This window comes from Homo sapiens, chromosome 17 (genome assembly GCF_000001405.40).
Source record: "Homo sapiens chromosome 17, GRCh38.p14 Primary Assembly".
Taxonomy (NCBI): domain Eukaryota; kingdom Metazoa; phylum Chordata; class Mammalia; order Primates; family Hominidae; genus Homo; species Homo sapiens.
In genome coordinates this window covers 73,873,227-73,898,836 of record NC_000017.11, presented here as the reverse complement: position 1 = coordinate 73,898,836, position 25,610 = coordinate 73,873,227, and the positions used below count along the sequence as shown (strand labels likewise).

Here is a 25,610-nt window from a genome sequence, read left to right as displayed (position 1 = left end):
TGGCCTGTAGGTACTATTTTTATCCCCATTTTACAGTTGAGAACACTGAGGCTTAGAGAGGTAAAGTAAGAGGCCCAAAATTGGAGAGCTAGTAAATAAAACAAGGCCTGCAACTCCAAGTCCTTGACCCTGAACCCCCGTGGGTGGAAGTTTGGTTCTGAGCACAACAGCAGACACAAGAAGCAGAAATGAATCCCTGTAGGCACATGAAAGGGTTAGGTAATAGCTGAGCATGGGGAAGGGGCAATAGAATTTCCCCTCAAAATCACACATGGTGGCCGGGTGCGGTGGCTCACACCTGTAATTCAGCACTTTGGGAGGCCGAGACAGGTGTATCACTTGAGGTCAGGAGTTTGAGACCAGCCTGACCAACTTGGTGAAACCCCGTCTCTACTAAAAATACAAAAATTAGCCGGGCGTGATGGCACATGCCCGTAATCCCAGCTACTCTGGAGGCTGAGGCAGGAGAATCGCTTGAATCTGGGAGGCGGAGATTGCAGTGACCCAAGATCGTGCCACTGCACTCCAGCCTGGGCGACAGAGCAAGATTCAGTCTCAAAAAAAAAAAAAAAAAAAAATCACACATGGCATGAGGCCCCTTTGCTTTTTTTCGGCAAGGACCATAGGACAAATAATTTAATTATAAAGAGGTTAATATGGGTTTGGAGCTCTTCCAGAGCTGCCTGATTTTCAACGTTAGCCTGTCCTGTCTGATGCCTGCAGCTGTTACGTCGTACCCAGCTGACTGGTGACCATGTGGCTTGACCATGTTTCCAAATTCTAACTAAGAGAACCAGGAAAGGTTCAAGGCCATGGAAAACTGATCATAGACCCATAAATGCAGCCATGACTCTCCTCCTGCACCCAGAGTAGACATAACCACCCATCATGCCATCTTTCCAGCTTAGCCGGGAATGTGCAGCAGAATCCTTCTTAATGCAGTGTTCCTGTCAATTACTCTCCAAGTCAAGGCTGGTCTTGAAAAGGAACCTCGTAGCCATACTTTATTTAGGCAAAGTTTTTCCTCTAAGTAGGGAGATGGAATAAATAGTCTCTAAAGGTGCAATCCTAACATTTATTTTATGCCCCATATCCACATTTGCTTATACTATCCATTCCAGAGCCAGTGCCCTGTTCTCTGATGAGAGCAGAGAACAGGATTGAGTTAAACATGTTTCTCTCTTCCCTTAAGAAGGCACGTATTTTGCTGTGAGAATCAGCCATCATGACAACCTTCATTTTGATGCCAGACCAGCTATTTTCTTTATCCTGAAATTTTAAAAGTAGACTGTCACCTCTTCCCTCTTTCTTTTTCTCTGTTACCATTTCTACAGCAGTAAATCACAGATCAAGGTCTAGGTACATGGTCAGAAGGCTTCCAGCAAATTAGCGACGCAAACTGTGATATCAGCCAACGACCTTGATTACATTTACTTGTAAAAATCAATGGAAAAAAGTGAAAGAAAAATGCAGCCAATTCTTTTTAAGTGTAAACTATATTTGCTGGATATTGTAGTAATTATTACTCCTGTTTATTGCCTACCTAATAACCATCAGGTATGTAATGTATCATGCTGCTCCAGGTTCTTTAAATACTCCGCATCCATTATTTCATGCCATCTTTACAAAAATTCTTGCAAGATAGTGACTGTCATCTTCGTTGAACAGATGGGGACGTGTCCAAAATCTTACATCTAGTAAGAAGTGAGCCATATGTTTCAATTCTTTCTACTCCTTCAGTGCTTTAGCATTTCCAGAGATGAACAGGGGTCTGGAGTCTGGCAGACCATTCTAGAAATGAATGATCATCTAGCTCGCTGACCAGCCATCAGAGTAGGTCAGGGGAAGTCACACCAGGAGCAAAGACCAAGAAATGGAAACTGCAAATGCTGATGGAGACCAGATGTCAGAGCCATAGATCCAAGGGCAAACTTATGGCTGTTAGGGGAGGGGAGGGAACTAGACCTTTGCATGGTGAAATAGGGATACCAGGGAGGTCTGGAGTAGCCAGCCCACGAGCTTATTGCCGGAGGCTTTAAACACAATGACTCAAGAGGTAACATCTTCATTGACCTTGCTTCTAGATCCTCCTCCAAACCCTGATTAGTTGGAGGGTTAAAACCTCTGCATTTCCATTTTACTGCTAAAAACAGTGAGACCAGGAGAAGTAACTTGATCAAGGTCACACTGCTGAAAAATGACGGAGTTGGACCTACGTGGGCCTGACTCCGACTCCAGCACCCAGAGGGCAGGTTATCTCTGTGGATCGTCAGCGGAAGGTTTGTATCCTGCAGCTACCAACCAGCAGTCCAGCTTGCCTCTGGCTCCAGGGAGCTCCACCTCACCTCTGAAGACAGGGCACAGAGGAGCCTGACAGGTTACTTTTATTATGAAATAATTCTCACCTGTGGAAACAATGAGCCATGTGTATGTAAGTTAGAAAAATTAATACAGTGAGTTCCCGTGAGCCCCACTTATGAAACAGATGATTATAGGAGCTGGGAGGACCCCGGGTATCTGTCTTCCTTTCAGTTCTCCCCTAACAGAGAAGCCCTGTGCTGACTTCTGGGTATAGCATTCACACTCCTCGATATAGTTTTACCATGCACGATTGTGTTCCTAACAACAGGTTGTTTATTTTTGCACATTATTGAGCTCAATATAAATGGAATCATAGCTAACACTTACACAGGCTTACTATGTGTTTATTCAGCTTCATGTGTACTTTATGATAATCATCCCCATTTTTAAGATGAAGACACTGAGGTATGGGAAACGTAACGAACTCTCCCGAGGTCACACCACTGGCAGGGGATAGAAGCAGGATTTGAACCAGCCAAGCAGTCTGGCTCCCAAGCCGGCACTGTCACTGGGATGTGGTGTGGTGTTATCCTGGAGCTATTCCTTGGTGACTTGCTTATGTCTGTTGGTGCCTGTAGCTACCCTTCATTAGTTTTTGTACTGCATAGGGCAAGCTGCTGGGACAGGTTAGTGATGTTCACGCAGATGACTTTCAGGGGCCGGCACTGTGGGATGCCCGTCTGCTGTTTGATTCCCCTTTCCACCCCTCTTTCCTTCTCACTTAGCTGAGCTCTGTTTGAGCAAGTGTGTTCAGTGATGATGACCCCACCCACTCGCCCACAGCCCCAGGGTGTGAATTATGGTGGGTTAAAACCTATTTGATTCAGTTTGCTGGTGTTTGGTTAGGCGTGGACATGGGGTCAAGGGGACAAGAGCTAGATGGCTTTAAGAAAGGGTTTTTTATTTTTATTTTTATTTTTATTTTTATTTTCACCAATAAAAAGGTGCAGGGAGAGAGGACGGTAGTGCAACTCTACAGTGGAGAAATCTGGCAAACCCTATCCTGATCAGTTGGCCAAGGCCAACATCATTAGAAATGTCGTGTGCTATCATGTACCCCCTGATAGAGTGTGATGAGGAGGGACAACTTCCCCTCTGTGGTCCCTTCCCCAACAGCTCATAACCTCAGTTAACGGTGAGAAAAACATCAGACAAAGCCACGTGATAGTACATTCTAGTAAATCCCTAACTGGCACTTCTCAAAAGTGTCAAGATTGTCAGAACCGAGAAAAGACTGAGAAATTATCATAGACCAGAGGAGACTGAGGACACGGGACCACTAACTGCAATGCAGCATCCTGGGTGGGACCCTGGATCAGAAAAAGGGAAGAAAGTGGAAAAATTAGTGAGATCCGAATAAAACCTGCCTTTTAGTTTATAAGAGGGGAAACTAGATGGGGAGTATACAGGAACTCTGTGTGCTATGTTTGCAGCTTTTAATTACATCTAAATGTATTACAAACTAAAAAATGTAACAAAAAGGAATGAGGGGTAAAAGATGCACAGAGAGAAGCGTCCTCCTGTTTGCAAGACCCCACCCTGCATGTGGGAGAGAGCTGCAGCTGCCACCAAGTGACATCACTCACCTGTGAAGGATGGCAGAGTGGATAGAAGAGAGCTGCTAGTAGCTGACAATATCATCAAGCCTCAGATTTATCCAATTTTGCAACCCTATCTGTCCCCAAGCTTTTCTTTATGTAAGATAATAAACCCTTATTGTTAATGTTCTTTTAGGCAGGGTCTTTTTCTTTCTGTTACTTGCAGCCAAAAGCATCCTAATTTGTCCATTCCAAGACTCAGGCTTCTGACATGCCTGGATCAACTGTTACTTGCCTAGGCTGCCCTCTTGCCAGCTCGGGGTTGTGTTGCCTGGGGCAAGGCACCCTCATGGCCATCGTGTGTGTGTGTGTGTGTGTGTGTGTGTGTGTGTGCTCATCTCCAGCTTAATTAATCTTGTGTTGAGTGAGGGTGCTGGAGTGATCCCAGCAGAGCCTGGGAAATGACTATGCTGGAGTGAAACAAAAGGGACCCGCTGGACTGTGACAGCTGATATTAAAATACTACAACTCACTTCATACCCAGAGTCAATGCATTATATTCCTAATAAATAATGGGTTACTGCAGGTTAAGTGTTGCTGCATTCCAATTGTTGATATTTAATTAGCTCTAAAATTAAAGTGTTCTTTTATCACCACACTGCTAGGACTACTTTATTCCTAATTGATTGAGATTAAAGTGTCTCCCAAAGATCCCGGTGTCCCTTTGTCAGCCCAAGTGTGAGAGGATTTAATGAAAACGTTTGACATTTCAAAGTGTCATATAAATATCTTGAAATTAAGCAAAAGACAGGTTTTTTGTTATATTTTACAATCAGGGTGCTGATGGGTGAGGAAACACTTTTTAATAGGGATGAGGTTTTATGAGAGGAATAATAATGGCTGAGAGATTATGCAAGTGGGTCGTGACAAGGTGGTGGAAAAAGTCAGCTTGATGTGAGGTTTTCCTGGGGCCCATCTGATTGCCTGGAGGGTGGGTGGGAGAATGAATTCTAAGAGAAAGAGGACTGGCTTTGGGGCTCAATGTGGGTTTGAACCCAGCTCTGCCACTTACAAGCTGAATGACCTTCAGCAAGTTATTGGTCTGCCTGAATTTCACTTTCTAATCCTCAAATAGGAATAATGACACCTGCTTCTCAGAGTCATGAGAATAGAGGTCATGTTGGCAAAAGAACTGAGCCTGAGCTATAGCAGGTGCATAATAAGTGGTAGCAATTATTGGCCCCCTTAATATAGTTCTGAATGTATATTTCAGGATGACTCAACTGATCATCTATGAGTAGGACAGGGTGAGGCTCTCAGCTGGCCTGGGCTCTTTGAAAGTTAAGCTACTTCTCCATCTGGCTCCAGACCTCTCCACTTTACCGACATCTTTGGCAGGTATTAGGGGTCCCCAGCCAGGCTCAGCAAATGTTCTAGCCAACCCCTTTGCCTGAGACCCCACTTGCCACTCTCTATCTAAACTTCTTGGGTCAGAGCCTACTTGTTTTCCTCTCTGACTTATATCCAGCCACAAATCTCAAACACTAATACCTGTGCCACCCTCCCCTTCGATTGACCTCCTTGCATTAGTTACCCATTGCTGCATAACAAATTGCCATGAAACATAGTAGTTTAAAGCAACACATGTTTATTATCTCACAGTATCTGTGGGTCAAGAAACTAGGTGTGGCTTACCTAGGTCGTCTGTTTCAGAGTCTCTTGCAAACTAAAATCAAGATGTTTCCCAGGGCTGGGGTCTCATCTGATGGCTCCAATGGGGAAAGATCCACATCTAAGCTCACGTGACCTCAGATTGGGAACCAAAACCATAATTAGCCTCAGGAGCACCATGATATAAACATGGAGCTAACAAAGGGAGAACTAAGCCCACAACAGGAGTTCGTGTATTCACCTGCCTCACCTGAATCTCCAACCTCAACCCTGTCTCTCAATTTCAGTTTTTCTTTCAGATTGCTAGTCCTTCGCAAATCTGAATGACCAAATCCTTGTGACAGGGTGTCTTAGCCCGTTTGTGCTACTATAACAAAATATCTGAGACTAGGTAATTTATAAAAAACAGAAATTTATTTCTCACAGTTCTGGAGGATGGGAAGTCCAAGACCAAGGTGCCAGCAGATTCAGTGTCTGGCGAGGGTTTTGTCTCTGCCTCCAAAATGGTGCCTCATTGCTGCATTCTCCTGAGAGGACAAACACTGTGGCCTCACCTTGCAGAAGGGATGAAAAAGAGCAAAAAGGGCCCAGCTATTTCCCCCTAGCCCTTTTAGAAGGTCACTGATCCCATTCATGCAGGTGTCTGCATGCCCCCATAGGGTCTAAAGGCCCCACCTGTTAATACTGTTGCAATGGGGATTACATTTTAACATGAATTTTGGAGGGAACACACACATTCAAACCATAGCACAAGATTATTTAAGACCAGGTGAGTGGTGGAGGCTAATTTCATTCATTTGGAAGGGATCTTAAAGATTTAATTTCACCCCTAATAATTGTTGGAACCACCTCTACAAATGTCTGTGCCACCTCCACTGGTAATTCATTTCACTCAAAGAAGTCTCTGGAAGTTTGAAAGTTTATCTCTTAAGGGTATTGAATCTGCTTCCTTGTTGCTTTCTCCAATGAGCCCCTGGACCATTTTAACTACCTTTGTGATGGTCATAAGTGCCATCTTTTGCCCAATACTCTGCCTCTTCCATACTCCAGGCGTATGGTAGAAGTACACTAACTGGCCCCCTGTGGTTGGATGGAATCATGTGGCCACTTCTGGCCGATGAATTGTGTCATTTTGGGCTGGGGATTTAAGTGCTGATGGTAAGACCCACTATGGCTGTCTTTTGCCTCCATGCGGTGATCAGCAAATTTCCTGGTGGTGGCTGCTCCATCAGCTTAGATTCCAGAGCAAGGATGATGACTATGCAGGGGAAGAGCCCCATGGAAACATAGCGGGAATTAGAAAGGGGCTCTTCACGTTTCTGCAGCTGAGACTTTGGTGTTGTTTGCTACTGGAGCCTAACTCTTCCTATCCTGACTGATACACTCCTCTCCTTATCCCCACTCTTTTTTTTTAATTATTTTATTTTATTTTATTTTATTTTATTTTATTTTTGAGACTGAGTCTTGCTGTATTGCTCAGGTGGACTGCAGCGGTGTGATCTTGGCTCACTGCAAACTCCACCTCCCAGGTTCAAGTGATTCTCTTGCCTCAGCCCCCTGAGTAGCTGGGATTACAGGCACCCACCACCACACCTGGGTAATTTTTGTATTTTTAGTAGAGACCAGGTTTCACCATGTTGGCCAAGCTGGTCTCGAACTCTTGACCTCAGGTGATCCACTCGCCTCAGCCTCCCACAGTGCTGGGATTACAGGCATGAGCCACCACGCTCGGGCCTATTCCCACTCTTTAGTTTAGTAGCTCTGCCATTGAGGGAAAGGGAAGTTAGGTAAATTCTAGGGAAATTGGATGTTTCCTTGCAAGGCTACAGATGTTTGGTCCATCAAGAGTTACCTGACACAGATGCACAGCATGAAGGCTGTGGGAAGCCAGAGGTAACAAGCTGCAAACCTGTATAATCCCATTTCCCACTGAACATGGCATGAAACCTGCCGAGATCCTCACCTCAAAGAACATGACTGCCTGGAGACAGCATGCACACTGCAGATCTGATTCGAGCCCCACACGGGTGTGAGGTCTCAGCTGCTGCACTCTGGCTCTCCTTGAGCATGCCCCGGCTGTTAGGGAGAGAAATTCTGTGCCTGCGCACATCCTGCTGTTCTTTGTCCCCACTGGGTTCAACACATTCATCGAGTGAAAAACAGTCCCTGACTCTGGTGTGAGAGGGCTAATTGGCAAGTTTGTGCATCGAACGTCTGTTCAGCTTTCCTTCTATAACTTCAGTGTTTAGTTGAGAGGGACAAGATAGGATACAGGATGTATTATTTTCTGAGTTGTTGACTGTCTGCTAAAAAATCACTTGGCTTGTGAAGTTCAAACACATTTGTGAAAAATAGCAGATGCCTATGAAATTGGACAATTAGCTTTTGGAAGAGAAAGCTAATCAGAAGCATAGCTCTGACAGCAATTATTTGATCCTGTCATCCTGAGAATCTCTGTGGATGCTCATTAGCCATAACATGCACATTCATTCATATGCACTCATGCACACACCAGGTCTCATGCAGGCAACAGGCCCTTGCAGCTTCCTGCATTTTCTAACATCTCTGTACCATCACCTTGAGGGAATGGGAGAACAAAAACACAAGGCTTCATATCCCAGGAGAGGCCCAGGCGGCAACACTGGCGATACCAATCCTCAGAGGTGTCTGCGTGCCCATAAGCAATTTTACAAAGTAAATGGGGGTCAAACTCTATCAGGGGAAGCGAGTGACAGGCTCTCTGTGGCCCAGGACATAAATTGTGCTCAGACTCCCGCTTCTAGAATGCTTCTTCTCCTCTTATCCTGCCATAGAGTATTTCCATCTTCTCTCTAATACGAACAGCTGGCCTGCAGGCAATCTCGCATGTTGTGTTGACTTTGTAGGTAGCTTGACTGCAGGCTAGGGCAAGCTTCCCAGTGCAAACTGGGAAAATACAAGGTACAGAAGCCCAGGTAGAGGTGCTCAGGCCCTTGCACAGGAGGGATGGAAATCCTTCTGGTTTCCCTCCCCAGCTCCCTCCCCTCCACAACTTACACCACACCCACAGAGGCCTATGTGCTGTAGCAACCACACACCTTGAGATTTGCCAAAGTTGGCCTGGTTCTATGGTGACAGCTACAGGAGGAACCGTTCTGACTCCAGAGCAAACTCTTGCACTGAGCCTGCCCTAGACCACCACACCTCTAACAGACCCTCTTCCTGGACACAGGTAGCTCTGCTACTGGGCTGAAGTCTGGAGTCCTCCAGGCTGGAGGTACCACTCAGCTGTGAGCCCTGGGGGCAGTGAAGCTGTGGCTTGCGCTACGTTGGTGTTTTCTTGCCGAGAACTGTTTTAGGTTATGACTGTCCATAATGGGATTGAATTGTAATGATTTGGTATTGAATTCCCCTTAACATTCAAGGGAAATGGATCCTGACTGTTTGTAAATGTGTTTGCAAATAGTGGAATGATCAGACTAGACCTGTGTGTGCAACTCCTTTCTTGGTATGCCAAAAGCAGGGGTGGTCGGGATGCTGAGCAGAGAGGAGGAGGTGAGCTTTGAGGTTCCAGGACCAGGCCTTGACCTTCCTGGCTGTGGTTAGAGAAGGCTGCTGTCTGCCCCAAGGCCTTCCTTCTACTGGCTTGTGGTAGGGCTGGGTTGTATGGGTGGTGTGTGGTCAATTGCATGTGCTAATGTAAGTAGAAACTTACCATGAAGAAACTTAGCCGTGAAGAATAAATACCATCAACACTTATATGATATAATGGACAGGATGAATGTTACAAATATTATCACTGCTCTAAGCATTGTACATGTAGGATCTAATCTAATCCTCATGACAGTCCTAAGAGGTAGGTAATATTCCTATGTCCTTGATGAGAGAGCTGATGCTAAGTAACTTGCCTAAGGTCACACAGGCACAAAGTAGAGGCCCTGAGATTTGAATCCAGGCCATATGGCTCTGGCGTCTATGGCTTGACTGTCTTACTGTGCTGCTAACAGCAGAGTCAGGTATGATCTGGTGTTGATGAGCGCTTGGGAGAGCATGTTAGTTATCTACCGCGTTTAACAAATCACCCCAAATCACTCCAAAACTTCACAGCTTAAGGCGATCACATTTGTGATCTCAGTCTTTGTGGGTGGGGCCTCTGGGTGTGGCCTGGCTGGGCCCTCTGCTTTGGACTGTCTCTCAGGCTGCAATCGAGGTGTTAGCCAGGGCTGGAGAGTGGGCACTGTGCCATTTGTGAAGGCTTGACTGGAAAAGGCTTCACTTCCAAGTTCACTTTTGTGGCTGTTGGCAAAATTCAGTTCCTTGACAGTTGTTGGGCTCAGGGCTTTCGTTCCCAGCTGGCTGTAGGCTGGAGGCTTCTCTCAGTTCCTTGTCGCACCAAAGAAGCCAGCAAGAGAGAAAGTCCACTAGCAAGAGAGAAGTTACAATCTTTTAAAACTTATCTCAGAAGTGACAATCATTATTTTTGCCATATTCCTGTGATTAGAACAAGTCACCAGGCAAGACCATGTTCAAGGAGAGGAGATTACACAAGAATGTGAATACCAGGAAGTAAGGATCATCTTAGACCACCTTAGAGTCAGCCTGCCACAGAGAAGAGGGTAGCCAGCTCCAGTGCCTATGACCCAAATCTAAGATTAGGTGAACATTCTGCAAAGCTTAGAGGCATGGGTTTCCTACCTATGGGCAGGGCAGCTCACTTCTACTCCAAAGAAGCTTATTGAGAGGATGACCTCCTGATAGTTTTATCTCCTATCCTTTTGTGTAGATATCAGAATGAGTAGATAGAATCTTGTTTCTGAAAATGATGCTAAGATCTGCTACACAACCATCATTTTAAAACAATTTTCCACCATGTTCCTAACCTTCCTTCCACCTCTCCTTGTTGAGGGGTTGATCCGTTTGTTGATGCAGATATTTGCTGCTATGCAATCGGCACAGCACCTGCTAGTAAAGACCTACAGATAAAACACACAGTTCCTGGATTTAAAAGAGCTCAAGTGACATTTATTATGTTAGCCATATTCCTTTGGTTAGAACAAGTTGCCAGTCTGGCCCACATTCAAAGAGAGAAGATGACACAAACGTGAGTGCCACGAGGTGGGGATCAGCTTAGACCATCTTAGAGTCCACCTGCCACAGAGAAGAGGTATCTAAGCAGAAGATCCTCTGCAAATGCGACATAGCTCTAGGAAGAGAAGGCTCAGACTCCTTTCCATTATAACCCAGATGCCATGTGTTACAGCAGAGATTATAACAGCATGCCATGGGTAAGCTCAGGTAGGCTTGGAAACTCGGGGCCTATGGAATTTTCCCCAGGGGAGGTGATAAGATTAGCTGCATCCGGAAGGACAATGAGGAATCAGGGAGGTGGTGGATGAAGGAATCCCCAGACAACACACACAACTTCTAGAAGAGTCCAGAGGCTTGAGGGAGCTCAGCACTTTCTGGGAACTAGAAGACACCTGGTGGGGCTAAACTCAATGAGGTGGTATGAGGAAGCTGCAGGTGGTTGAGAACATGTCCCAGCCCTACTGGCTGCATTTGGAAGGTCTTTGTGTCAAGAGGAACCTTCATTATCAATACATACTTCATGAGCACTTACTGCATACCACTTGTGGTTCTATGCACTAAGAAGATAGTGGTAAATAACACTGAAAAGGTCGTGGGTTCCCAAGACCACTTCCCTTCTGACACCAATGGAAAAGTTTGGGGGTTATCCAAGACCAGCCTCAGGTTCAATGATTCACTGGAAGGACTCAGAACTCAGCAAAGGCATTATACTTATGGTTGTGATTTATTACGGTGAAAGGATACAGATGGAAATCAGTCAAGGGAAGCGGTACATGGGGCAGGGTCCAGGAGAGACCAGGCATGAACTTCTGTTGTCCTTTCCCAGTGGAACTTTGGACAGCACCTGTTTCTTCCAGCAATGATGTGCGATAACACACACAGAGTCTGGCCAACCAGAGATGCTCACCCAAATCTTGGTGTCCAGAGATTCTATTGGGGCTCAGTCACATAGACACGATTGACTGCCTGCCAGGTTGACCTTAGTCTCTAGGCCTTCCAGAAGTCAAGCTTATACCAAGTGGTCCAAGACCACCCCCCCAACCTACCACAAATCATATTGTTAGCATAGAAAATTTAGGGTGGCCCAAGACCCCAGGTAAACAAAGATGCTCTTATCAAACAGGGCATTCCAAGGACATAGAGGTTCCCTCCCAGGAGCCAGGGCCAAAGACCCAAACCTTTCTTTGGGTAAAGTTGATCCTTTACTGCACAAATACAGACTTGGTTCCTGACTTCAAAGAATATGCTTCCTAGTGGGGAAGACAGATCACACCCCTCCCCCACACACAACCACCGCCACCACCATTACTACCGCCACCAACACTCAACCAACAATATAACTACAAATGGTTATGAATGCTGTGAAATAAAGAGTCAGAGGTATAGCAGGACACTGACCTAGAAGCGCAGAGAGAGACTTCATTGATAGGGTAGGGAAGGAAGACATCTCTGAAGAGGGGACTTTGGAGTTAAGACCTGAAGAATGACAATGAACCATCATGCATGACAAGAGCTGGAGTTAAATCATTCCAGGCAGGTAGAATGGCAAGTACATAGTAAAAAGGAGAAAGGGTCTTGGTGTGTTCAAGGAGCAGAAAGGAAACAGGTATGAATGGAAATAGTGAGCCAGAGGGAGGGGTCATGTAATGGAGCTGGACAGACACATCATGCATAGCTTTGTAGGTCACTTTAGGGAATTTGAAATTTATTCCAAGAGCAATGGATATCCAGCCAGCTGATTGCATTTCATTCTAACTCTACGGAAAAGGATGATGAGTGTGAAGCACACAGAGCGTCTAAAAGCCAACCTATACAAAGCCAGTTATCATGCAGTGGTGCACCCCGGGGACAGGGCCTCTTAGAGAAAAGGCATCAGAAGGCGCTCTGGGGTCAAAGGGATAGCTGAGGAACAGAGAGACTGTCACAAAGGCAAGAAAAAGAATCTAAGACTCTCTTCTCTTTGCAGACCTGGAGAGCACTCTGGGTGTTATGTAGGTCTTAAGGGGGACCTGCTGACAGCTGCTGTGTGGCCTGAGATGGAGCATGGAGGAGCAGAATGGGCGTGAATCTCCCAGGACCTTCCCTTAGCCTCAGGAATGTCAACAGCTCCGTATAAGGTTGGAAGCCTGCAGTGAAAATCAGCATGTGTGTGCGTGTGTGTGTGTATGTGTGTGTGCGTGTTTCTAATTTTGTGGCCTCATTGACTCAATTTTTTAAGGTGAATCTTAAAAAGTCTTAAACGAATGGAGGCTGTGATTGCAAAAGCTGCAAGTGGATGAGGAGCAAGTGGCTTCATGTGGTAGAGTGTGCAAGGAAACACCTTCATGTTCCCATGCAGGAGAGGAGAAGAGAATGTGGGTGCTCGAGAGGCGCACAGAGGGCCCAAAGTGGCCATAGAGCCCTCTCCAGGGCACAGAAGAGCAGGGAGGAGCCTTCCTTTGGGAGCCTCTGCACCTGTCATTCCCCATGAATGTGCCAGAGGAGGAAGGGACCAGAGTGGCCTGAGCTTTGTTCACTTGTCTCAGTGGCTTCCCCTCCTCTCTCAGGAATTAGTGAAGACTGCATAGCAGCAGTGGGGTCGGGGGGGAGGGTGGAGGTGACCCTCACACCTCACAGAAACTGCCACCGACCCAAAGAAACTGCCACTGGCCCAGGGTAACCCTCATACCTCAGAAAAACTGCCACTTGCCTAGAGAAACTACACTGGGCCACTGGCAGTTGCCACTGTAAGACGTGGCATCGTCTTGCCGCCATGATGCCCTGAAAAGCCAGACCCGCACATCTTCAAGTAAAGACCTTGAAGCTTGGGGGAGTTAATCACCCACATCCAAGGCCACATACCCTCTTGTGGGCAGAGACATGATTTAAGATGGGCAGTGGGACTTCAGTGCCACCTGCCCAGCCATTGGGACCTCTGTCCTCCTGGTGGCTGTTATGTTCAGTCTCCACTGTAGCTGGATCTTGGGGGAAGATATTCTAGTTCCTTTGAAGGGGCAAGGACGGATCTGTGGCTGGTCACAAAGGGAGAGAAGAATAAAGCAGAGGAAGGTGTCTAGAGCGTGTCAGTGGAGGTGGGGAACAGAGATCTCAGGCTTCTGCTCAAAGGCCCCTCATTACTGGGTCTTCTCTGACCATTCTATATGGAATAGCAGTGGCCCGGAGCTGCCCAGCCTCTGCCTGACCCTCTAGGCCAGCACCCTGTCCTTCCCACCCTGCTCTGTGTCACAGGAGGCTGACTGAGTGGGCTGCATCGACCAAGCCCCCTTACCCTCTGCCTTCCAGTTGGGTTTGGCCAAACGAAGTCACCCACAGGAGACCAGAAGGCGGGAGGAGAATCAGATTGGGGTACTGACTTCTCAGCTCTCTCATTAGTGGGCCACAGGGTCACTTTCACAGCGACAGCCCACTCTCAGCTCTGGCAGCTCCTCTCTTTCCGTGCTCCTAGGTCTAGAAGTGGCAGCAGGCAGCTTCCCATGATGCTGGGTCCAGGGTGACTGGCCATCCCTGAGTGGGTCCTCTGACTCTGTCCACCTCTTTGTCCCTTTATTAATTGTCCCCATCACACTAGTTGAGGAGGGGTCTGCTTTCTGCCTTGTTACTAATATACTCTCCTCCCCTTAGTCTGTAGCCCCCCTTCCCTGCTTTATTTTGCTTTGAAGCATGGCTCATTACCTTACATTGTATTATCTATTTCCTGGTTTATTTTTATAGTCTGTCTCCCCTACTGAAATGAAATCAGAGTGAGGCAATGCCTCACTGAAATACCCTTGTTGCCCAGGACAAAATGTGCACGTGACGAATGTTTGCTGAATGAACCCCCAAGGGGAGCAATGCACCCCACTTTGCCATCACTCTGCCCTACTAGCCTTTTAGGAGTTTCTTCTGCAGAGAGCTGGGGTTCCTGATGGGGTGAGGCTCTCAGGAGCTCGGGCTTTGGGAGGGTCTCGGAAGATGCCAGAGACAAGGAGGCCGGGAGTTCATGGGGAGGAGGGAGCAAGGCGTTCTGTCGTCTAAGCCACACTCACACCAGGAAATGAAACGCTTTCACCTTTATTAGCACTGATAAGAATAATAGTCCATTCTCCAGGCTTTTAAATCTTACTCTATCATCATTTTCCAAGCAAAACTGCTGAGCATAGTGGGAAAGACAGGCTCGATGTGGTTCAATCATTCTCAGTGGCTGAAGCTTCTGTCTGCACAAGGCCTTAGGGAGCCCGGGGTCTTCCCTCTTCACCTTGGAGGTGCCCTAGAGGAAGGGGAAGATTCTTGAGGACAAGGGCTGAGCCAATGCACTTTGGGCTTGCATCTCTACTCCTAGCCTGACCCAGCACAAAAAAATAGTACCAATGGCAGGACAAAGCATGTAGGTGCAAGACCCAGACTGCCTGGGTTCAAATCCTGACACCACACTTACTAGCTCCGCAACGTTGGGTATGTTATTGACCTCTCTGGGCCTCTCTTTCCTCATTTCTAAAGTGGGAGAGATAAAAATCACAGGTAATCATGGGATCATTGCAAAGAATCAATGAGTTAATATGCATAAAGTACTTAGACAAGCATGCGGCAAATACCAGTTGAGTATCCATTATCCGAAATTCTGGGGACCAGAAGTGTTTCAGCTTTTGAATTTGTTTTGGATTTTGGCTTTTGGAATATTTGGATTATGTTCGGCATCACTAATCTGAAAATCCCAAATCTGAAATGCTCCAATGAGCATTTCCTTTGAGATCACGTTGGTGCTCAAAAAGTTTCGGATTTTGGAGCGTTTCGGATTTTGGAGCATTTCGGATTTTGGAGCATTTCGGAGTTCAGATTTGGGGATTAGGGATGCTCAGCCTATGCGCTGGCTGTTGTTGTTATTAGTTGGGTGCTTGCTCTGTGTCAGGCAGGAACCCGTGGAGGATCGCATCATCCCTGATGAACAGATGAAGACCTTGAAGCTTGGTAGGGTTCATCACCCACATCCAACACCACATACCTTCTTGAGGGCAGAGATGTGATTTAAGATAGGCAGTGGGACTTCAGTGACACCTGCCCAGCCTTTGGGACCTCTGGCCTCCTGGTGGCTGCTATGTTAGTCCCCCAAAGTTAGTCACAGGCTGATGATTTTGCCTGGGGCTTGGGAGGCAGAAGAGTGGGGCTGGAGATGGGGGTGCACAGGGCAGGGGACCCTCCTCCCAGAAACTGCACATCCCAATGTCCCCTGCACTCAGAGTGAACACACAGCCACTTCCCTGGGATTTAGGTTTACTGTCTTGTTGCTTCTGAAATGAAAAAAAAGGGTTAAGTCAGGAAATAGTGAGCAGATTCAAATAAGATGGGGAGGGTGGGGGTGGGAGAGTGAGGAAGGGAGCGGGGGTGTGGGCACCCCCGAGGGTGCGTGAGCACGGACACATGCACTGCTCATGGACACACGTGCTCCTCAGCAGATGGTGCTATTCATATTGATCTACCTGATTTTCAGAAGCAAATTGATCTTGGCTTTTCACAACTTATCTAGGACAGAGAAGTCTCTGGGAAGTCTTTTCACATGGTAGACAGCCTGGGGTGCTCATGCTTTTGACAGCAGAACCATAGACTTCATCTCCCAAGTGCCCAGGCTGGTGGCAGAGCCTCCAGCCTCAGCAGGGTCCCAGGAGAAGGCACAGTGGAGATGGCATGGAAGGGGGGTTCAGCCCTGGCTGGGGAGGGAAAGGAGGTCATCTGGGACAGTCAAGGCTCAGAGATCTGGAGAGGGGTTAGGAAGCAGACACCTCCCATTGAGGAAGTGTGGGAGGAGATCGGGAAGGACAAATGCCCAGGAGAATTCTGCAAAACAGCTTGGCCTCCTCTCTCCAGAAGCCCTGCCCAGGGGGAAGCATCTCCCCCTTTGAGAAGAGCCTGTTGCCAAAAATGCCAAGACCATTTACTTATAGAGCAGGTGACAAAAGCACCTCTCTCCAGCGATTAAACAGGAGGACAGTTATTGGAAAGCAAATATCCTCGTGTTCTCGGGCACAACAACAGTGGCAGCTGCTTTGGCATGGGCACCGCGGACAGGGGTCATGATGGGACCTTTTCAGGCCCCACGGGCAGTTGCCATGGCAGTAAAGGCACTGGTGGGTGGGCTCCAGACCCAGGAGGTGAGGAGCCCGCAGCCTCTGAGACCTCGGGGCAAGATGTGTGTGTTATTGTTCCCTCCGTGCGGAAAGACAAGAGCCATGTCTCTTCATAAAGGGAGGGAGGTGAGAGTTATTACCCATCACACGAACCCTGCATGAAATCTAGCAGCCCGAGGTGGGCATTCACCACTGATAGAAATCTGTCTCCCTGCCAGCTTAAAGTGCTACTTAAAAGGCAAATGTATAATTTACCTGCAATTTGGGAATGTGCTTCTATAGGGTGACAGCTAAGACTCTCCACCTTTGGGGAAAAGGCCCTGGAGGAACCGTCAGAGAGGGGTCATCCTTCTACAATTGACTAGGGAGGATGAGCCACATGGCGGAGGTGGGGGGGTGTGGATGGGGAAAGTTAAAGCAGGTGCTAGTTGTTTCTTTGTTTTTTGTTTTTTGTTTGTGACAGAGTCTTGCTCTGTTGCCCAGGCTGGAGTGCAGTGGCATGATCTCGGCTCACTGCAACATCTGCTTCCCGGGTTCAAGCGATTCTCATGCCTCAGCCTCCTGAGTGGCTGGGACTACAGGGGCACACCCCTACACCCGTCTAATTTTTGTATTCTTAGTAGAGATGGCGTTTCACCATGTTGGCCAGGCTGGTCTCTAACTCCTAACCTCAAGTGATCCTCCCGCCTCAGCCTCCAAATTGCTGGGATTACAGGTAGCAGGTGCTAGTTTGTTAAGAACAGGTGACCAAGGTGTGGATAGGGATCAGCTGCATCTCAGCCAAATGAGCAGCTGGCATGTTTTCAGGGCTAAGCTGTGCTTCCTTGGACTCCGTAGGGAACCCCAAGTCTTCAGGGAGTAGTTGGGCGAGGTGATGGCCTTGCCTCTGAGCAGTTCTTGGGGTGGGACAGATAGAGAAGTGTCCTTGGAGGGAGTGCTGACTGCAGGGGACCTGAAGATGACTGGGGGTGGGCCCTGTTAGGAGCCCCTCAGGCAGAGTCACCACCCCCAACTCCTGTAGCAGATTGAATGGTGTCCCCCTAAGTTCATGACCATCCAGAACCTCAGAATATGACCTTAGTTTAGAAATAAGAGCTCCACAGATATGATTAGTTAGGATGAGGCCAAACAGGGTTAGAGTGAGCCCTAAATCCAATGACCAGTGTCCTTATAAGACAAGGAGAAGAGGCCGGGCATAGTGGCTCACAGGTGTAATCCCAGCACTTTGGCAGGCCGAAGCAGGAGAATCACTTGAGCCCAGGAGTTTAAGAACAGCCTGGGCAACATATCAAGACCCTGTTTTTACAAAACAATTAAAATTTAGCCAGACGTAGTGGTGCACACCTGTAGTCCCAGCTACTAAGTAGGCTGAGGTGCGAGGATCACTTAAGCCCAGGAGGTGGAGGCTGTAGTGAGCTATGATCATGCCACTGCACTCCAACCTGGACCACAGAGCCAGACCCTGTCTCAGAAAAGGAAAAAAGAGACACACAGGGCCACGCACAGAGAGAAGGTCATGCGATGACGGAGGCAGAGATGGGAGTGATGCATCTGCAAGCCGGGAAATAACAAGGATTGCCGGCAACCTCCAAAAGCTAGGAGAGACGCACTAGGAGAGACACACTAGGAGAGAGGTATGGAACGGATTCTCCTTTGGAGCCTCCAGAGGGAACCAATCCTGCTGACACTTTGATTTCGGACTTCTGGCCTCCTGAACTGGGAGAAAACACATTTCTGTTGTTTTCAGCCTCCTGCTTTGGGAGAATTTGTTGTGGCAGCCCTAGGAGTTGGAGGCAGCCTCCACGCCCCCAGGCCCTGCAGGGCTGACCTGCTAATGTGCAGACTTGCTTAGTCCAGGCTACCCTGGAGGCATTCTGGGCACCTGGGCCCAGCCCTGGACGTCATGTTTTGGCTTCTTGCCATGTACAGCCTGCATCCTGTCCTCCCGCAGCTCTGTGGAACAGGCAGGGCTCCTGTCACAAATCCCATTTTGCAGATGGAGAAATCAAGGCCTGTGGGGCTAGGACCTAGATCTGGCTCTCTGTGATGTGCTTGTCAATAAGGAGAACGTGGAATGAGGCAGGTCGCATGGCAATTCTCAGAGTCCCCTGCACAGAGGACCTTGGCAGAGTTTGTCACTCATGTACCTTGGCCGGCACAAGGGCAGGCAGAGGACCTCTGTGTCCTGAGGCTCTCCCCGCTGTCCTCACTGGCCCTGGTCTCTCCCTGCAACCTCAGGGCTGAGGTCCCCTCCCTCCTCCTTGACTGCCACCCTCAGCTTCTCAGAGACAGGAGCCTCTCACCTCTGTCTCTCCCAGACACCAGCCCACCAACTCTTCCAGCCTCCACATGGGGCTTGTGAGCCTGCAGGATAAAGGGAGCCGCTTCCCTACAGGCTCAATGGGACCCCGGGTGGGTCGGTGCTGGTGCAGGCAGCATGGGTGCCCTATAAGCACATCGATAATCATAAAAGGAGGTAAAGTTTATTGTCTTGGCTATTTCAGGTACCAGAGGAAAAAAACAATATGAATTGCAACGATGAAAGATTTACTGCATCTGTCAGCGCAGATAGAGGGGTTGGCTGGAATTATTGCAGCCGGGAAGAATTGTGTTTTAGGATCTGCCCCAGGTATTAATTTGTGGCAGGCTTATCCTGTCAGGAACATACAATGCTCATGGTGTCGAGAAGTAATACTTTAAAGGGCCTTAATGCCAATTGGATGGGAGCTGGGAGTCGGAACCTGGGAGGCAGCTGATCCCCTTAGCGAGGTTTTCCAATAAGTTCCAGATGAAAAGCGTGAGGCTGCTGAGTAATATCATCTTCGGAGACTCTCAAACTAGATCTGTCTCCACTTATTGTGCTGGCTCGTGCATCATTCTCCTCCCTGATGCCCAAGGTGACGTCGTCTCTACTTCCAACCAGGGGCTGGACAGACCGCAGGGCGCCGGGGATCCTGGCCGATGGCCTGGACTCCCGAGTCCCTCGTGCAGGTCATGTGTGGTGGGCTCCGCCGGGTACCTTGAGACTCAGAGTCTTGCAGCCCCCAAAGACTGGCCTGAGGCCCCTGCCGACTCTTCAGGAAAGGGCATTCTGTGACCCTCAGTTCCCACCCTCTGTCATGGGGCCTGGGTGCCTCCTCTCTGTGACCTGGAGACAGGCTGTCCTGGCTCTCTGATTTTGCCAAAGACCCAGTGAACCCAATCCTCCACCTCTTTTTCTCCATCTCGGGGATGTCCAGTCCGACCTGATTTTTGCCAAATGCCACATGCAAAGATGGGGAATGGTTCAGAGAGCATACGGCTTGCACTTCCTCCTTGGAGACCTTTCCGGGTTTGAATATCATCAGGATCCTGAAGGTTTTCACACCTTAGCGGCTTCTGTGCCTTGCTTCCTCTGTATTTACCCACCTCCTTTGGTCCAGGTCTTTCTGGTGCTGGAGTAGATGGTGGGGATTGGAGCCAGTGGGAAGAGAGATGAGGAGACTAGAGTCCCGGAGCTCTCTGGGAGCAGCAGCACCACAACCACCTCCCAACCCCAGCCACAACAGCAAAGGGAGGCAGCCAGAGGCAGAAGAACACAGCTTCAGGAGGGACCACATGGAAAAGGAGCTCACATCTGTGCCAGCTCTGGTGGGCCTTATAAAGGGAAATGGTAAAGGGGCCGCCTCCAGGTTTTTCCATTTGCAAAATGGGATTGTGACACTGGCCCTGCCTGTTCCACAGAGCTGTGGGAGGACAGGATGCCATCAGTGGTTAAAAAAACGAAAAGAAAAGAAAAATCCAGGGCTGGCCCAGGTGTTCAGAATACCTCCAGGGTAGCCTGAGTGTTCTGGTGTCTACACACCCCCTGAAGACCCAGGCGGCACTAGGCTGTGGGCCTCCCTGGCTGAGAGAGGAGAGGCTCCTGGAGCAGCCCCCCTGCGGTGCTGAGCCAGGACAGGGCCTGCTGGGCACGGGGGCGGCTCCAGCCACCGAGATGGGTGGATTGTTCCTGTGGACTCAGGAGTTGCTCTGGAGGTCGGTCTCTCCCTCTGCCCTTCACCCCCGGCCGTCCCTCTCCTCCCCTGGGGCACAGGGGCAGGGGATCTACTGAGAGCAAGGCATTGGGAGGAATTGGGGCAATGTTGCCCATGTGCCAGGCATTTGGAAATGGGGCAGGGGTAAGTTGTCGCAGTGCAGAGGGGGTGCTGCTGGCATTTGGAGCATGGAGACAAAGGATGACCAGGGAGATAAGTCTGTTCTTCCACCTGGAGCCCTGGGAGTGGCTTGTGGGGGTTAATTGGCTCCTGGTCAGTGCCCCAAGGGTTTCCCCAACATAGCCCGGGCAGCTCAGCCTGGGGTCTGAACCCGAACTCACCTGGCATCTTGAGGGGCTTCCTTCCTGTCTGGGGATAGCATCTACTCGGGGACAATGGGCCGGGCTGGAGTGAGGCACACAGGGAGAGTGAGAGTCAGGGTGGGTGTGATGGCCAGAAGATGGCACAGATCCTGCTTGGGATGCATGGTGGACACTCGTGTATTGGAAGCTACATTTGGAGCAAGGCTGGGTCAGCTTCCAGAGCTGGAGTTGGAGCTGGAGGGTCTGGAAGCTGACCCAGCCTTGCTCCAGCTGTAGCCAGGATTCCTCTGTGGATGGGAGGTGAGGAAGGATTGCTTGCCTTCTTTATGAAGTGAGGCCCTCTTTCAAACAGCCACAGACGGGGACTCCAATCTCAGGCAAGCTCACCAGGGCTGAGCAGTTGAATGTGGCTGGTTTCTCACTCTCTCTGGAGCAGTGAGGCCTCCCTCTCCACCAGCAGCTCCATGGCAGGTGTCACCTCTTCTCAGGTGAGTTTTCAAACACCACAGCCCCTTGCTGTTGCCCAGGAAGAAGCAGAAAGAGCTGCAAGGGAGAGGAAGGCAGGCTAGTTCTTCCCTTGACCTTGACCAAGGTCAGAAGAGGCAGTTCTGGCCTGGACATCTGGGAACTGCCAATAAATCTGTCTTCTAGTGGTTTGGAGCCAAACACAGAACAACTGTAAAAGGTGCATGGGGTGCAGATGTCCTCATGGCCAAGAGCAATTTTAAAATGAAAGAACAATTTTCTCACATCGATCAGGTGTATCAAAGGCCTGTTTTTAGCCCTCCCTTCCCCCATTGTCCTTAGACCAAAGGAAAAGGAATCTTTTTCCAGTTCAGGTGCTGGGGCTTCATGGCTGCACCCATGATGCCCTGGGTGTCTACAGAAACCTGATCTCCAATGCACAAGGGAAGCAGCAGGGCAGAGAAGGTTATAATGAAGATACACAAAAGCGTTTCCAGTGCTCATGTTGGAGACGGGCGGGAATGCCCATTTCCTGGAAATGCCCTGGATGGGTTTTGCTGGTTGGATTTGCAGGCTCCGGGCCCAGACCCTCCTAACCTCCCCAGCAGGGTCTGTTAGGCTTTGAGCACTGGTGGTCAGTCACAACGGTGGTCCTTTCTCTGAGTTTGGAGCCAGATGAGAGAGGGACTCTGGCGTCAAACTCCTTTGGAACCAGGAGTTCAAAGATTGCAGCCTTATTACCATAAAAGCTGTATTGGCACAGCTGTGGGGCCACAGGGGGCTGCTGTGTCCTCCCTGCTGAATTGAAAATACTCCCCAGAATGGCAGCCAGCACCTGGCAGGGCAAGATATCTACAAGGATGGAAATCTTTCCGCAGCTCAGAAGGAGTGCAAGAGGCCAGAGGGGCTGAGCCAGGCATGCGTGATTAGGTCACGCTCCCTGATAGCCTGGAGAGAGTGGGGGTAGGAGGGGGTGCTGGGAAGGCCCCTGCTTCATATTTCTCAGCAGGGCAACTCGGGGATTGGGGGGTGGCGACTGGTCACCATGTGGGTCTGTGCAGGGCACTGCACGGGGCTGGTTACGCTTGGCGTCCATGCTCCAAATGCCAGCAGCACCCCCTGGCCATTGCGACAACTGCCCCTGCCCCATTTCCAAATGTCCAGTAGATGGGCAGTATTGCCCCAGTTGACAGCCACTGAGTCATGGAGTTCTAAGAGGAGGGGAATGGCCACTCCCAAGCTGCACCACCGTTTGTGGGTGAGGCACAGGTTGGAAAGTCCTTGGGGTAACTTCCTTGAATGGATAGAGAGGCAGGTCTAGCCCGAGGTTTGGGGTTTAGGAGGGTGGGTCAAGACAGGCTACGATGACAGAGGGGACAGAAGACCAACGAGATGACCATCAGATGAAGGGAGGCGTGCACAGAGGACTTGGAAACCCAGAGTGAGGAGGGGCACAGGATGCGGATGGCACTGGGGAGCCACAGGAGAGGGAAGCAGGGATGCAGCTTTTCTAAGCTGTAGGTGAGACAGAAAGGGTCCTGCCCCCTATAAGAGCCACCTATCCTCCTTGGCTCCCAAACACCTCAAAATGAGATCCTCCCTCTGTGGCATTCTTGGGGGCTCCCTGGACCCCTTAGTCCACTCTGCTGAGGATGACCTTTGATTGCACACAAGGTCACTTCCTCAGCTCACCCTGGGAATTCCCTCTGCTAGGGAGTTGCGTAATTCAGTGCTTTGCACACAGTAGAAACCCAGTAAGTGATTGTTGAAAAAACGAATGAATGAATGAATGAATGAATGAATGAATGAATGAATGTTACAGCTTTTGTTGCTGCTCCACCCTTACTTCCTACCCTCCAGTCCAACTCAGAGTTGTACCTGTTTGCCCCCAAGTCTGCTGGAGAAGCAGGTCCTCTTCTGCTTTGAGCCCAGATCTCTCCAGTTTGGCGTCTGCCTGAAGCAGCTGCCCAGCAGCCACCTTTCCCATTAACCCTCCGGAGCCCTCTGGCCTTCATCCGCCCCTAGGAATGCTAACGGCTTCATCTTTACTTTCTCTTGCCCTTCCTTCTGGCCTTTCTCCTCATCAGATCTGCTCTGCCACAAATTATCCAGCTTCCGCTGACCTCCTTCCTCTCTGAAATCATCATTTCCTAAACAGTTCCTCCTGGATCAGACCACCCTTCCTCCCTGCCCCTTGCCAAACCCCTCAGCTTAGACTCAACCCTTGCACTGCACACATTCATTTCATTAAAGCAATCCCTGTCTCTCTCTGGGAAGTCACCACCATAATCCACCACCACAATTAACTTTTCAGAAGGTTCCCTATTTATATATAAGCACAAATGCCAGTCCTGCCTGGGGAGATTCCTTTAATCCACAATTATTTCAGTGGGGCGAGAGAGGCACAGTGGGATCTAGAGATGAGTTTAGTGTTGTTTGAATGAGATTGCAGAACCTCCTAAGGGGTTCAGCTGTCTGCAAACGACATGAGTTGGATTGAGCTGCCCATGGCTGGGTGTATGCAAGAATCAGGTGGCCTCTGAGAACCCTTATGAGTTAATGGGGGTGCATTGAAAATAAAAATGGCAATGCAGATTGAAAATCTTTGGGACAGAGGGAAAAAGCAAAACCAGCTGCTTCTATGAGATTCAGTTGGTTGAAAGGAGGCTGGGGAGGCTGGGGCCGGAAAGGACCCTGAGAAGGCTTCTGTGCCTTGGAGGCAGGAGCCCAGGTGGGGATGTGGAAAGGGAAGATGATGGCAGGCTTTGGGTCATGCTCAGCAGGAGGGGAAAATGGGGAACCACGACTCTGCTCCATGGCAGGCTATAAACACAGAATTTCTCCCTTGCCCTCCTGTGAACTCAAGGGCAGGGGATGCTGCACATATGATATAGCAAGACCTCAGGGTCAGCCAGACCCCAGGTTGTCACACCCACACTGATATGGCCCACGCACTGACCTTGCTGGGGGCCAGGGTGGAGATGGACACCTGTGTCTGTACAAAGGCGGCTGCTTCTGAGGGAAAGGCCTGCAGGCAGGGACTCCCCAGCCACGCATGAACTTGTTTCTGTCTGCTTCTCCCTAGTGTGACTCAGCAGCTGCTGTGTACTTTTCTTCAAACTCCCCAAGACACAGGAGATCCCCTAGTGCACTGTCTGGCACATAACAGGCACTCAATAATATACTTCTTAAAATAACTGAATTTGAGTAGATTGCTGAGGCCCTGCTTAGGCGCAGATTACTGGGGCAAAGATGGCCCCAGTAATATCTCCTCTTCCAGATCTGTATTAGGCCATTCTCACGCTGCTAATAAAAACACACACGAGACTGGGTCATTTATAAAGAAAAAGAGGTTTAATGGACTTACAGTTCCACATGGCGGGGGAGGCCTCACAATAACAGCGGAGGGCGAAGGAGGAGGAAAGTCACGTCTTACATGGCGGCAGACAAGAGAGCATGTGCAGGGGAACTGCCCTTTATAAAACCATCAGCTCCTGTGAGACTTACTGTCACAAGAAAAGCACAGGAAAAACCCGCCCCACGATTCAATGACCATGTGTGGTGGGGTCCTTCTCATGACACGTGGGGATTATGGGAGCTACAATTCAAGAAGAGATTTGGGTGGGGACACAGCCAAACCATATCAATGTCCATCTGACCTTGACATTATTCTCCCTCAGTCCTGGAAGGACCTCTGTGATTGCCTTGACCAATAGAATATATAGAGGTGACATGAAGTGACTTCTAAGGCGAGATTATAAAAAGGCCATGCAATCCCGCCTAGCTCTCCTGGAGACTCTCATTCTTGGAACCCAGCAGCCATGATGGTGGGAAGCCCAAACTAGCCCACTTAGATACCATGGAGGTGTTCTGGTTGGAAGTCCAGCTGAGTTCCCAGCCAGTAACAGGCATCAACAACCTGACTTGTGAGTGAAGATGCCTCCAGATGATTTCAGCCTCAAACTGTTGAGTTGTTCCTAGCTTCTTGACTTCCCAGCCAAGGTCCCAGACATCAGAGAATAGAGATAAGTTCCCACTGTTGCCTGTTCAAATTCCTGACCCACAGAAATC

The 25,610-nt window shown here is 49.1% G+C and overlaps 3 annotated features.

Annotated features, from left to right (window-relative positions):
* Positions 20,279-20,779: an enhancer, noted in NCBI's record as "H3K4me1 hESC enhancer chr17:71874197-71874697 (GRCh37/hg19 assembly coordinates)". NCBI's record gives its function as "activates a minimal SCP1, AML or CMV promoter by ChIP-STARR-seq in naive H9 embryonic stem cells {active_cell/tissue: H9 hESC(naive)}" and the evidence as "EXISTENCE:reporter gene assay evidence [ECO:0000049][PMID:30033119]".
* Positions 20,780-21,280: an enhancer, noted in NCBI's record as "H3K4me1 hESC enhancer chr17:71873696-71874196 (GRCh37/hg19 assembly coordinates)". NCBI's record gives its function as "activates a minimal SCP1, AML or CMV promoter by ChIP-STARR-seq in naive H9 embryonic stem cells {active_cell/tissue: H9 hESC(naive)}" and the evidence as "EXISTENCE:reporter gene assay evidence [ECO:0000049][PMID:30033119]".
* Positions 24,595-24,774: an enhancer, noted in NCBI's record as "active region_12700". NCBI's record gives its function as "activates an Ori minimal core promoter by ATAC-STARR-seq in GM12878 lymphoblastoid cells {active_cell/tissue: GM12878}" and the evidence as "EXISTENCE:reporter gene assay evidence [ECO:0000049][PMID:35858748]".